This window comes from Homo sapiens, chromosome 17, assembly GCF_000001405.40.
Source record: "Homo sapiens chromosome 17, GRCh38.p14 Primary Assembly".
In the NCBI taxonomy this organism is placed as follows: domain Eukaryota; kingdom Metazoa; phylum Chordata; class Mammalia; order Primates; family Hominidae; genus Homo; species Homo sapiens.
Genome location: NC_000017.11, coordinates 42917824 through 42931094, shown reverse-complemented (window position 1 = coordinate 42931094; position 13271 = coordinate 42917824). Strand labels below are relative to the sequence as shown.

At 43.8% G+C, this 13271-nt stretch overlaps 3 annotated features.

Moving 5' to 3' along the window:
- Positions 2031 to 2180: an enhancer, noted in NCBI's record as "active region_12228". NCBI's record gives its function as "activates an Ori minimal core promoter by ATAC-STARR-seq in GM12878 lymphoblastoid cells {active_cell/tissue: GM12878}" and the evidence as "EXISTENCE:reporter gene assay evidence [ECO:0000049][PMID:35858748]".
- Positions 2031 to 2646: a biological region, named in NCBI's record as "H3K27ac hESC enhancer GRCh37_chr17:41080466-41081042".
- Positions 2070 to 2646: an enhancer, noted in NCBI's record as "H3K27ac hESC enhancer chr17:41080466-41081042 (GRCh37/hg19 assembly coordinates)". NCBI's record gives its function as "activates a minimal SCP1, AML or CMV promoter by ChIP-STARR-seq in naive H9 embryonic stem cells {active_cell/tissue: H9 hESC(naive)}" and the evidence as "EXISTENCE:reporter gene assay evidence [ECO:0000049][PMID:30033119]".

Sequence of the window (13271 nt, the reverse complement as noted above, 5' to 3'; positions counted from 1 at the left end):
AACAACAACAAAGTTCCCTGAGACTCTCTCAGTTATGATTTTACTCCCGAAGCAGTCACTGTCTTGGAAGGATGACTGGCTCTCAGGAGGCTGCCTCAAACGATGCATGTGAAATTCATGTAGGCTTCCAGTGTGTGTGTATGTGTGTTTTGGGGTTGTGTTTCCTGCTGTTTATAACAGGAGGATAGTCTGGTCAACCAGAACAAGGAGACCAAGCCAACAGACATCACCATCAGCAAAGGGACGGTATAATGGCGGTTGGCAAGGCAAATGAGGGCTAGTAAAGGAAATGCAATTATAGTGAGGGTGAAGATTAAATCTCTATGCAGGAATATTGCAGATAAAATAAATGAAAACAATTATATCTTTTTTTTCTTTTATAGAGAGGGGGTTGCGGTATGTTACCCAGGCTGGTCCTGAACTCTGGGTCTCAAGCAATTCTCCCGTCTTGCCTTCTAGTGTTGGGATTGCAGGCATGAGCCACCGGGCCTGGCCTGAAAATATTTTATATTGAATAAAAAATTACAACATAGAGTTCAATTGGAAACATTATTGTGAACCCATAAGCTTTAAGAGAAATATAATTTCCTGGCTCTGACCCTAAAATACAGTTCATTAACAGCATTTCTTTTTCTTTTTCTTTTTTCTTTTTTTGAAATGGAGTCTCGCTCTGTTGCCAGGCTGGACTGTAGTGGCTCAATCTTGGCTCACTGAACCTCTGCCTCCCAGGTTCAAGTGATTCTCCTCCCTCAGCCTCCTGAGTAGCTGGGATTATAGGCATCTGCCTAATTTTTGTATTTTTAGTAGAGATGGGGTTTCACCATAATGGCCAAGCTGGTCTTGAGCTCCTGACCTCATGATCCACCTGCCTCAGCCTCCCAAAGTACTGGGATTACAGGCGTGAGCCACCATGCCCTGGCCACAGCATTTCTTTTCCTTCTTCTTTTTTTTTTTTTCCTTTTTGAGATGAAGTCTCTCTCTGTTGCCCAGGCTGGAGTGCAGTGGCATGATCTCAGCTCACTGCAACCTCCGCCTCCTGGGTTCAAGCAATTCTCCTGGCTCAGCCTCCTGAGTAGCTGGGATTACAGGCACACACCACCACGCCCAGCTAATTTTTTGTATTTTTAGTAGATATGGGGTTTCCCCATGTTGGCCAGGCTGGTCTCGAACTCCTGACCTCAGGTGATCCTCCTGCCTCAGCCTTCCAAAGTGTTGGGATTACAGGCTAGGCCACTGCACCTAGCCCATTAACAGCATTTCTTCTGCTAACCTCCCACTCTCGTGCACCCATCAAAAGGAAATGAGACTTCTTAGTGGGTGGCTGATTCTGTGTCTTGGAACAAGGAAAATTTGGAATGGGCCTAGAACACAAGGATTTTAGGCCAGCAATGGTAGAAGGATAAGGAAGCCACTGTCCAAATTGCAACAATTTGACATCAAAAAAGGAACATAGTAATTATGTTTATTTATAATTGACAATTATGATTAAAATAAGTTCAGTGTGTGAAAGACCTCAAAATAAAAAAAAGTTGATATATGATTTTCTGATATATGACATATGATTTTTCTCTGCTTTTATGATATTTGAAGCATCATAAAGGGGACGCGGAGCTGGAGTGTCACAGGGGCTGAGGCAATGTAATTGGTTAAGCCACCAGTAGGGTGTGTGATCACCAACAAAAAGAAAAAGTCCTACACTGAAAGCCCATGGGGTTGAAGCAGGATTTGGTTCACGCTAGAACTTCTGAGAGTCAGTGTGTATCTTGATAAACAGCAACAGAGCTTAGTCATGAGTTCCCTGTAACTGGCTGCTCAGAGAGTTTGCTCCCCACCTCCTGGGGAGAACTTACCTGGGAAGAGGCCAATGTTTCTATCTAAGCCTGTCCCGTCCTCTGAGTTTCCAACCTTCTAATTTCACGTTGGGAGTGCCTCCGAACATGTTTTTGCTGAGTCATTTGTGGAGCTCTAGAATTGTTGAACCTATCATTTGTTTTCCAAGTTAGGGGCAAACAGTAATATATTGCTCATTTATTATTCAACCAAGATATCTGGAGTCCTCCTCATGTGTTAGGCCAGGGCTAGGCACAGGGTTTAAGTGCAAGAGTGAGCAAAGCAGGCATGGAGCTGCACTCATGGGGCCTAGTCTAGTGGGGAAGACGGACATGATCCAAATAATCACAAAGTGACGTTTGGTAGAGAGCAAAGTAAAAGGGGTGCTTTGGCAGGCCCAGAAGAGGAACTTGATCATGACTCATGGTGGGTGGGCAGGGAGGCTTCCTTGAGAAAGTGATACCAATGTGGAGGACTGAATTATGTGAAGAGGCAGAAGAGTGTTCTAAGAAGGGGGGTGTGTAAAAGCCCAAGCTCGGAGGAGGGCTGGAGTGTGTTGCATTGGAGGAACCAAGATGACATTGGCTGTGCTTTGTGGAATGAGGTGAAGGAGACCAGGTGAGGTGCGGTAGACAAGGTCCAGCTGAGGTAAGCTTTCAGAGGCCATATAAAGATTTTTTTTTTTTTGGTAAGAGCATTATTGAGATATAATTCACACACCACAAAATTCACACATTTAAAATGCACAATTTGGTAGCCAGTTGAGGTAGCTCATGCCTGTAATCCCAGCACTTTGGGAAGCAGAGACAGGTGGATCACTTGAGGCCAGGAGTTCAAGACCAGCCTGGCCAACATACTGAAACCCCGTCTCTACTAAAAATACAATTAGTTGGGTATGGTGGCACATGCCTGTAATCCCAGCTACTTGGGAGGCTGAGGCAGGAGAATCACTTGAATCCAGGAGGTGGAGGTTGCAGTGAGCTGAGATTGCGCCACTGCACTCCAGTCTGGGGCAACAGAGAGAGACTCCATCTCAAAAAGAAAAAAAAAAGAAAAGAAAAGAAAAGAAATGCTGTGGCTGGGGTGCGGTGGCTCACACCTGTAATCCCAGCACTTTGGGAGGCCAAGGTGGGTGGATCACTTGAAGTCAGGAGTTTGAGACCAGCCTGGCCAACATTGTGAAACGCCATCTCTACTAAAAATATAAAAATTAGCCTGGTGTGGTGGTGGGTGCCTGTAATCCCAGCTACTCGGGAGGCTGAGGCAGGAGAATTGATTGAACCTGGGAGGCGGAAGTTGCAGTGACCTGAGATCACACCATTGCACTCCAGCCTGGGGGATGAGAGCAAAACTCTGTCTCAAAAAAATAAAATAAAATAAATAAATAATGTACAATTCAGCCGGGCATGGTGGCTCATGCCTATAATCCCAGCACTTTGGGAAGCCAAGGTGGGAGGATTGCTTGAGGCCAGGAGTTTGAGATCAGCCTGAGCAACACAGTGCAACTTCATCTCTATGAAAAATTAAAAAGTTACCCAGGCATTGTGGTATCTACCTGTATTCCCAACTACTCTGGAGGCTAAGTTGGGAGGATCTCTTGAGCCCAGGAGGTTGAGGCTGCAGTGAGCTATGACCATGCCACCGTGCTCCAGCCTGGGTAATAGAGTGAGACTCTCTCAAAAAAAAAAAAAAAAAAGAAAGAAATTAAAAAAAGAAAAAAATACAATTCATTGGTTTTTAGTATATTCACAGAGTTGTACATAACCACAGTCAATTTGAGAACATTTTCGTCACCCTAAAAAAAAAACCCTGCAGCCTTCAGCAGTCACTCTCCATTTCCCCCAAACATCTAGCCTTAGGCAACCACCAATCTACTTTCTGTCTCTATGGATTTGCCGATTCTGGACATTTCTATAAATGGAATTATATGGTATGTGATCTTTTGTGCCTTGCTTCTTTCACTTAGTATAATGTTTTCAAGGTTCATCCACACTCTAGCATGTATTCATACTTCATTCCTTCCATGGCCAAATAATATTGCACTCTATGGCTAGGCTATATTTTGTTTATTTATCATTAGTTGATGGACATTCAGGTTGTTTCTGCTTTTTAGCTATTATGAATAATCCTGCTCTGAATATTCATGTACAAGTTTTTTTCCTTTTTAAAATTTATGTATGTATTAATTTAAAAATGGAGAGATGGGTAGAAAATAAAAGATGAAGGAAAAAGATACAAAAAGAAGTGAGACCAGACAGGGTGGCTCACTCCTGTAATCTCAGTACTTTGGGAGGCCGAGGCGGGTGTATTACTTAAGGTCAGGAGTTCAAGACCAGCCTGACCAACATGGTGAAACCCAGTCTCTACTAAAAACATAAAAATTAGCCATATGTGGTGGTGTGTGCTTGTAATCCCAGCTACTCGGGAGGCTGAGGTAGAAGAATTGCTTGAACCTGGGAGGTGGAGGTTTCAGTGAGCTGAGATTAAGCCACTGCATTCTAGCCTGGGCAACAGAGCAAGACTCCGTCTTAAAAAAAAAAAAAAAAAGCAGAAATGAAAAAACACACAAAAAAGCAAAAAATAAAGACGGGGGTCTCACTACGTTGCTCAGGCTGGTCTTATATTCCTGGACTCAAGCAATCCTATCTCTTCGGCCTTCCAAAGTGCTGGAATTACAGGCATGAGCCACGGCGCCTGGCCAAGTTTTTCATAATAAAGATTTATATCCTAAGAACAGTGATAATCCATTAAAAAGTTTCAAGCAAGAGTGTGATATCAGATTTTGGGTTTAAAAAGATCACTCCATCAGTCTTCTGGTGAATGGATATGAAAAGGGCGAGAGTGAATGCAGGGAACATTTACGAAGCCCATTGCAGCTGGACTCGTTGGTTCACACCTGTAATCCCAGAACTTTGGGAGGCCGAGGCAGGTAGATCACCTGTGGTCAGAAGTTCTAGGCCAGCCTGGCCAACATGGTGAAACCCCGTCTCTACTAAACATATAAAAATTAGCTGGGCGTGGTGACATGGGCCTGTAATCCTAGCTACTTGGGAGGCTGAGGCAGGAGAATGACTTGAACCTGGGAGGCGGAGGTTGCAGTGAGCCAAGATCAGCCTGGGCAACAAGGTGAAACTCCGTCTCAAAAAAAAAAAAAGAAAAAAAGAAGGCCATTGCAGGCCATTGCCATTGATGGTGGTGACTTTTATCTGGGGTAGGCAGCAGTAGAAATGGCAAGAAATGGCAGATTTTAGAGATATTTAAGGGGTAAAAGTAAGAGGATTTGATGGATGGAGGATGGATGGGAAGGAGGAAGATAGCGTGTGGATGGATGGACTTACCATTCACTGAGATACAGAATTGTAGAGATGACCAGGTTTGGGGTAAAATATTAAGAACCTAAACTGGGTGTGGTGGCTCACACCTGTAATCCTAGCACTTTGAGAGGCTGAGGCAGGAGGATCATTTGAGTCTAGGTGTTCAAGACCAGCCTGGGCAACATAGAGAGCCCTTGTCTTTACAAAAAAAAAAAATTTTTTTTTGTTTGAAAAGGAGTTTCACTCTTGTTACCCAGGTTGGAGTGCAGTGGCGCAATCTCAGCTCACTGCAATCTCTGCCTCCCAGGTTCAAGTGATTCTCCTGCCTCAGCCTCCCAAGTAGCTGGGATTACAGGCATGCACCACCACATTTGGCTAATTTTTTGTACTTAGTAGAGACAGGGTTTCACCATGTTGGCCAGACGGATCTTGAACTCCTGACCTCAGGTGATCCATCTGCCTCGGCCTCCCAAAGTGCTGAGATTACAGGCGTGAGCCTCCGCGCTCGGCCTATACTAGCTATTTTAATTCCAGAAATGTCTGGAATATAGCAGATGCTTGATAAATACTTGTGAAATGAACGAATTGTTCCAGCTGAAAAATTATTAAATTAAAAGATGGACCCTGCTTACATAAGTGGTAATCATAAGGGATTTTATGAACAAATAATTTGAAACCTTTAGAGTTAAAAATTTCTTATTACAGTAATAAAGATGTTAACTTTAAGTTGACAGTAATCTAAGTGTTCTGTTAATTGAATGATCAACTTGTTGGCTGTCAGAGAAGGAAGGAAACGAGTAGATTGGCACTAAGACATTCAAAGCCCCAGCAGGAAGCTGAGGCTCAGCAGAGCCAAGGAGTCAAGGGTCTTCCGGAATGTTCCCCTGCAGGGATGGGCCACAGCTTGGGGGTATGGACGAGCGGCAGGCAGGGCAGGTGAGCCTCAGCGAGCAAGGAGGTCTTTGAACCCAGAGTGCAAGATATTGAAACAGAAAATAATTAATTTGCCTCAGTTTATTTTTAATTTTTTGTTTTTCTTAAACTGAGTGTTGTTTTTTTTTTTGAAACTGAGGTTCATTTATAAAAGAACACATGTTGTTGTAGCTATGTAAGAAAATGTCCTTGCTTTTGGGAGACACATGAAATTATTTAGAAGTGAAGGCCATGGTGACTGTAAATTTTGCTGAAACGAATGATCAAAAACGAAGAATATGTACACATATATAGCGAGAGATTGATAGAGCAATGTGGCAACATGTGAATACTGTAGTTGGTGATTTACATGAAGAATATACAGAAATTCATTGCTTTTTTTTTTTTTTTTTTTTTTTTTTTGAGACGGAGTCTCGCTCTGTCGCCCAGGCTGGAGTGCAGTGGCGCAATCTGGGCTCACGGCAAGCTCCGCCTCCCGGGTTCATGCCATTCTCCTGCCTCAGCCTCCTGAGCAGTTGGGACTACAGGCGCCCGCCACCATGCCCAGCTAATTTTTTGTATTTTTAGTAGAGACAGGGTTTCACCGTGTTAGCCAGGATGGTCTCGATCTCCTGACCTCGTGATCTGCCCGCCTCGGCCTCCCAAAGTGCTGGGATTACAGGCGTGAGCCACCGTGCGCAGCGCTTTTTTTTTTTTTTTTTTTTGAGACAGTGTCTTGCTGTGTTGTCCAGACTGGACACTCAGTGGGACAATCTCGGCTCACTACAACCTCTGCCTCCCTGGTTCAAATGATTCTCCTGCCTCAGCCTCCCGAGTAGCTGGGATTACAGGCGTGCACCACCAAGCCTGGCTAATTTTTTTGTATTTTAAGTAGAGATGGGTTTTACTATGTTGCCCAGGCTGATTGCGAACCATTGCATTTTTAAAATTGATTTTTTTCAAAACAGAGTAGAAGGCCAAGTGCGGTGGCTCTCACCTGTAATCCCAGCACTTTGGGAGGCCGAGGCAGGCAGATCATTTGAGCTCTGGAGTTCAAGACCAGCCTGGCCAATATGGTGAAGCCCTGTCTCTACTAAAAATACAAAAATTAGCCGGGCATGGTGGCAGGTGCCTGTAATTCTGGCTGCTTGGGAGGCTGAGGCAGGAGAATCGCTTGAACTCAGGAGGCGGAGGTTGCAGTGAGCCGAGATCCCACCACTGCACTCCAGCCTGGGCAACAGAACGAGACGCTGCCTCAAAAAAAAAAAAGCCCAGTATGGTGGCAGGTGCATGTGGTCACAGCTACTTGGGAGGTTAAGGCGGCAGGGTCCCTTGAGCCCAGGAGGTGGAGGCTGCAGTGAGCCATGATTGCATCACTGCACTCCAGCCTGGGTGACAGAGTGAGACCCTGTTACAATAAAATAAAAACCAAAAACAAAACCAAAAAACCTTTCAGTTCTTAAGCCGAGGAGATCAAGGTCTGCAAGCATTCACAATCCTTAGAAGTCACCTAAACATAATGGATAACCTGAATCTGAAAGGCACAGAAAGTTTATTTTTCTCTCTGCTGAGGACATTACCCTAAAGGTAGCTGAGCAAAGACAATGCAACCTTTTTTATTATTTTTCACCTCCCTATCTACTCTTCTTAACAAGTTTTCCTAATTGCTTGCCACTAGTAGGGTTTAAATTCTCCCGAAAACTGTCTCAGTCTCAGATCCTCATCAGTTGACATTACAATCAAGCTAGCCTAAAAGGGCTCATCTCTGGCTACAGAAATAGCGCTTTTTCATCTTTATTTTTATTTTGTTTTGAAATTTTGCAATTCCTTCCCTCATGAAGATTATGGAAAAATCAGAAAAAAAAGATGGTTAATATTATTTTATGTCGTGGGAAACCTACTTAAACATTTGAAATGCTCAAACATGCCACAATGTGCCTGGAGAACGTTCTGGCAGTGGGTAACAAGAGCTATGAAACTTTTCAAACCTTTGACCCAGCAATACCAGTTTTGGGAATACACCCCAAGGAAATAACCCAAAAGGGAAAAAATGTAACTTGTGCAAAGATGTTCATGTGCCGCTATTTATAAGAGTGAAGAATTGGAAATAATCCAAATACCAAATAAGGAAATGGCCCAGCAAATTATGGTATAGTGACATAAGGAAAACACCAGCAAATGATTTTAAATGACAGGAATGTAGCCTCTGCTGGCTCTGGGGAACGTGTAGATTAGATTATTTTAAGTGACAAAAAACCCCAAAACAAAACACCAAATGGAAAGGTTACAACTATGAAAAGTGTGTGTTGTGAAAAAAAGTTTAGAAGTGACTCTTGAGGAAAGGCAAACATAGTTTAGAGTCGGGGTTGGGTGCTTCTTCTGTAAAATTGCTTGTGAATTGCAGTATCTACTGCAGTATATTCCAGACCTGATCATTTCGATCCTAAACACAGCTATTTGAGTATATAAAGTAGATAGCAGTTACAAGGTAGATCAGCCAATGGGTTTTCGTTTTGCAGCAAAAAGTCTTCGTAGTTTTGTCCCTGTGCACAGGAAAATGTGAACGCTCGCATCAGAGTTTGGAGACTTTGAGGACTGCAGAGCTGCAAAGACAGGCCGGGTGCTAAAACCTTCCTGGAATCATTCCACTGTCTGCTGGAAGATCAATCTCCAGGCATTGCTCAGGGCTCACCACAACAAACCAAGTGGAAGGGACCTACTTTTTCAAAGAAGGAGGAAGAAATTAGATTTCAGAAGCCAAATAAATCAGAGATGCCAAAGAAACATTTACAGAAAAGTAACACTGACTCTTCAATTACTATTACAGAATCAGGCTGCAATGTAGACCTCATTTCTACAGAAGAATACTCACACATTTTTTGTTGTTTTTTTTTGTTTTTGTTTTTGTTTTTAAACGTGGAACACAAGAATTCAGAATACGAAACTGAACAGTCAGATCAAGAAACTAAGAGGACATTGAATCAAGGAACTGTAAGAAATAGGAGGTGGATAGATATTTGCAGCAAGCTTTAGGGGCTATATCGTATTTTTAAAATAATATATCCTGGGTATGAATTAATATTTGACAACCAGGAAGCAAGGAAACACACAGTGGAATGAACTATTATTAAAGTTTACACATGATTTAAAGTTCACTTTGCTAATAAATTCTTACCTTAACAACTTCATTAGAGGCTGGGCGCGGTGGTTCACGCCTGTAATCCCAGCACTTTGGGAGGCCAAGATGGGTGGATCACCTGAGGTTAGGAGTTCGAGACCAGCCTGGGCAACATGGTAAAACCCTGTCTCTACTAAAAATACAAAAATTAGCTGGGTAGGGTGGTGGGCACCTGTAATCCCAGCTACTTGGGAGGCTGAGGCAAGAGAATCGCTTGAACCTGGGAGGCAGAGGTTGCAGTGAGCCGAGATCACGCCACTGCACTCCAACCTGGGTGACAGAGAGAGACTCCATCTCAAAAACAAAACAAAACAAAACAAAACAAAAACAAAACAACCTCATCAGAAGGCTATTTGACCTGGGATTTTTTTTTTCCATTCTCAACCTTAACTTGGACAGTGAGAAACAATTAAATTAGGATCTTTTTCATTAGTAACAAACAGAAATTAAAATGGGAGTGTGTACCAACAGTATTGGACATGAGTTTTACAGCAATGAGAGAACAGAGAAGTATGTCATCTCTTCCACCTTCTCTGAAGAAGTGCAATCCAAGCTGAGAATCATTAAGCACCAGTGTTAGGCAGAGTTTGTCTTAACTACGTTCTTTGTTCATCTGAGAATGTGTTTTGTTTTACTCTTTCCTCTCCCTGGTGATTTAACAACAATATGAAGTACACCCAGAGCCTTTTTTGGGGAGAGCAGTTTATTTACCAAACTAACAATAGGTGGCTCTCTGCCAGCCCTGCCCATTTCCCCCTCACTCTTTGGCTAAGACTCTCAATCTGGCTGCACACTTTATCCTGTATTTAACCACGTGCACATCTGTGGGTACCTAGTAACATATTCAGCTCAAGGTCTCTACAAGAGGGCCGGAGTCAAGAGTCATTTTACTTATGTAAACTGAGATGGGACAACTCCAGTTGTTTCAAAAAGTAGACCTGATGGGAGGGAAAGATTTTGGAATTTAGAGTGACAAATCTACTTAAGACAGACCTGAGCTGGGTGCAGTGGCTCACGCCTATAATCCCAGCATTTTGGGAGGCTGAAGTGGGAGGATTGCTTGAGCCCAGGAGTTTGAGACCAGCTTGGACAACATAAGTAGACCTCATTTCTGCAAATACATACCAAAAAACCTCCAAAATTAGCCAGGCATGGTGGCACACACCTGTAGACCCAGATACTCGGGAGGCTGAGGTGGGAGGATCACTTGAGCCTGGGAGGTTGAGGCTGCAGCGAGCCATGATCGGGCCACTGCACTCCAGCCTGGGCGAGAGTGAGACCCTGTCTCAACCAACAACAACAGAGCGGGTTGAGTTCAGCTATCTCCTAACTAGAGGATAAATTAACTCACCAGTTGATGAAATCTTTACATTTGGGATCATTTACCCTTTGGAAGTTCCTAGAAGCTGTGCAGAGTATCTTATAGCTGTGCAGAGCACAGGTGAAAAATGAGAAAGGGCATAGTTCTGGAGATAACAGTTGGTGGCTGCTGTAGCTAGTGAGCCTGCTGACAAGGCTCAAAGAGCCAGATCAAAGACCAAGGCTGCTGTGTCAGCTTCTCCCCGATCGACACTAATACCCATCAGGACTCAGGGCCTCACCTAAGGCTCCTGCACCGAAGAGCCCTTTGGAGGCTTTGGTGCAGGGGTGTCCACAGTGGTTTCACAACAGTCTGTAAGGAGAGATGACGCCCCTGTCATTCCATTGCAGTCACTGTGTAGGGAACAAATGGACTGGCAGGAAAGACCTTGGCAGTTTAAAGATCTAAGTGAAGAGAAACTGACTTATGCCACCCAGCTTGTTAAATCAATTAAGCCAAATTACATCTCTCAAAAGGCTCATTTGAGTTAATGGCCAGGGTGGATCAAGCAGGGATCAGTGGCAGCATTGTCAATCAGCCGGGGTAGAAGGAGATTAGAATGAAAGATGGAGTCGAAAAGATGACATTGGTGCCCTCAAAGGTGGCATGCCTCTGTCAAGAATCCCGAAACAGTTCACAATGGAGAGAAAGAAATTTGATTTTCACTATTTTTTTTCCCCACAAATTCCTGTTTGTTTTTTTTTGTTTGTTTTTTTTTGCCACCCAGGCTGGAGTGCAGTGGTGCAATCTCAGCTCACTGCAACCTGAGCCTCCCAGGTTCAAAAGATTCTCCTGCCTCAGCCTCTCGAGTAGCTGGGATTACAGGCATGTGCTACCACGTCTGGCTAATTTTTGTATTTTCAGTAGAGACGGGGTTTTGCCATTTTGGCCAGACTGGTCTCGAACTCCTGACCTCAAGTGATCCACCTGCCTCGGCCTCCCAAAGTGTTGAGATTACAGGTGTGAGGCACTGCGCCCGGCCCCAATTTTCATTCTTTTTGCCTCTGGAGAGAGAGGAAGGAGCACAGAATAATAAAGGATTAGAATCCCCAGTTCTGTGATGGAGCAGAATGAGACCATTCCAGTGTTGAAGCTGAGTTGAACTGTTCTGAGGGCAATAATTATGGAATGAGAAGAGCAGAAGAAGAAAGTGAGGAGGTGGCAGAAAGGAAAGTATTGAAAATTTGCTGGCTGGAAAACTAGCTTCTTGCTAAAAAAAACCCCAAACCCCATAAACACACCCAGCTGTTCCTGGTTGTAGTTAGTTATTACCCTGTGTCCTGGGGAGACTTAACGAAAGTAAAAGAAGAAAGAAACCCATAACATAATTAGGAGAAGGCCACTTCAAACACAATTATTCTAGCTTTGCCTTTAATTTGGTTAATAAGCCCTCAGTCTGGCTCAAATAATCTGACTGTACTGTTTACATATGTCTTTTACTTCTGTTTCAACAGCTGCATGTTGACACAGCAGCCCAAATATACGCAGGAGACTGGCAGAGAGGAGACTGCTCTTTGCTGAGAATCAAGAGACCTGTGAACATGTTAGTTACGTGACTTAGAGGCACCATTTCACCTCTCTTGGCCTTCATTTCTATATTCATGAAATGAAAAATGTTTTTGAGTAGAATTTATAGTGAGCAACTTTCTTTTTTGAAATAAAGGCCAACTCAGGACAAATAAAAAATATTTATAGACTTCTTTCTTTTATTGAGAAGAGCAGCCCAGATGCAGCTTTATTTTTATGTATTTATTTTTTTAGAGGCAGGGTCTTGCTCTGTCACCCAGGCTGGAGTACAGTGGCACAATCATGGCTCACTGCAGCTTCACCCTCTCAGGCTCAACCAATTTTCCCACCTCGTCTCCTGAGTAGCTGGGACTACAGGAGCACACCATAATGCCCGGCTCATTTTTTTTTTTTTTTTTTTTTTTTTTGAGACAGAGTCTCACTCTGTCACCAGGTTGGAGTGCAGTGGCAAGATCTCGGCTCACTGCAACCTCCGCATCTCAAGTTCAAGTGATTCTTCTGCCTCAGCCTCCCGAGTAGTTAGGACTACAGGCACGCACCACAATGCCCAGTTAATTTTTGTATTTTTAGTAGAGACGGGGTTTTACCATGTTGGCCAGGATGGTCTCGAACTCCTGACCTCAAGTGATCCGCCTCCCTCGACCTCCCAAAAGTGCTGGAATTATAGGCATGAGCCACTGCACCCGGCCTAATTTTTATTAAAAATTTTTTTTTTTGTATAGGTAGGGTCTTGCCATGTTGCACAGGCTGCTCTTGAACTCCTGGCCTCAAGCAATCCTACCTGGACCTCCCAAAGTCCTGGGATTACAGGTATAAGACACTATGCCCAGTCCAGATGCAGCTTTGTATTTTATTTGTTTGTTTGTTTGTTTGTTTTTGAGATGGAGCCTCACTCTGTTGCCCAGGCTGGAGTGCAGTGGCGCAATCTCAGCTCACAGTAACCTCTCAGGTTCAATCGATTCTCCTGCCTCATCCTCCCAAGTAGCTGGAACTACAGGCATAAGCCACCACGCCCGGCTAATTTTTGTATTTTTAGTAGATACGGGGTTTCACCATGTTGGCTACGCTGGTCTCGAACTCCTGGCCTCAGGTGATCCACCCACCTCGACCTCCCAAAGTGCTGGGATTACAGCTGTGAGCCACCAGGCCC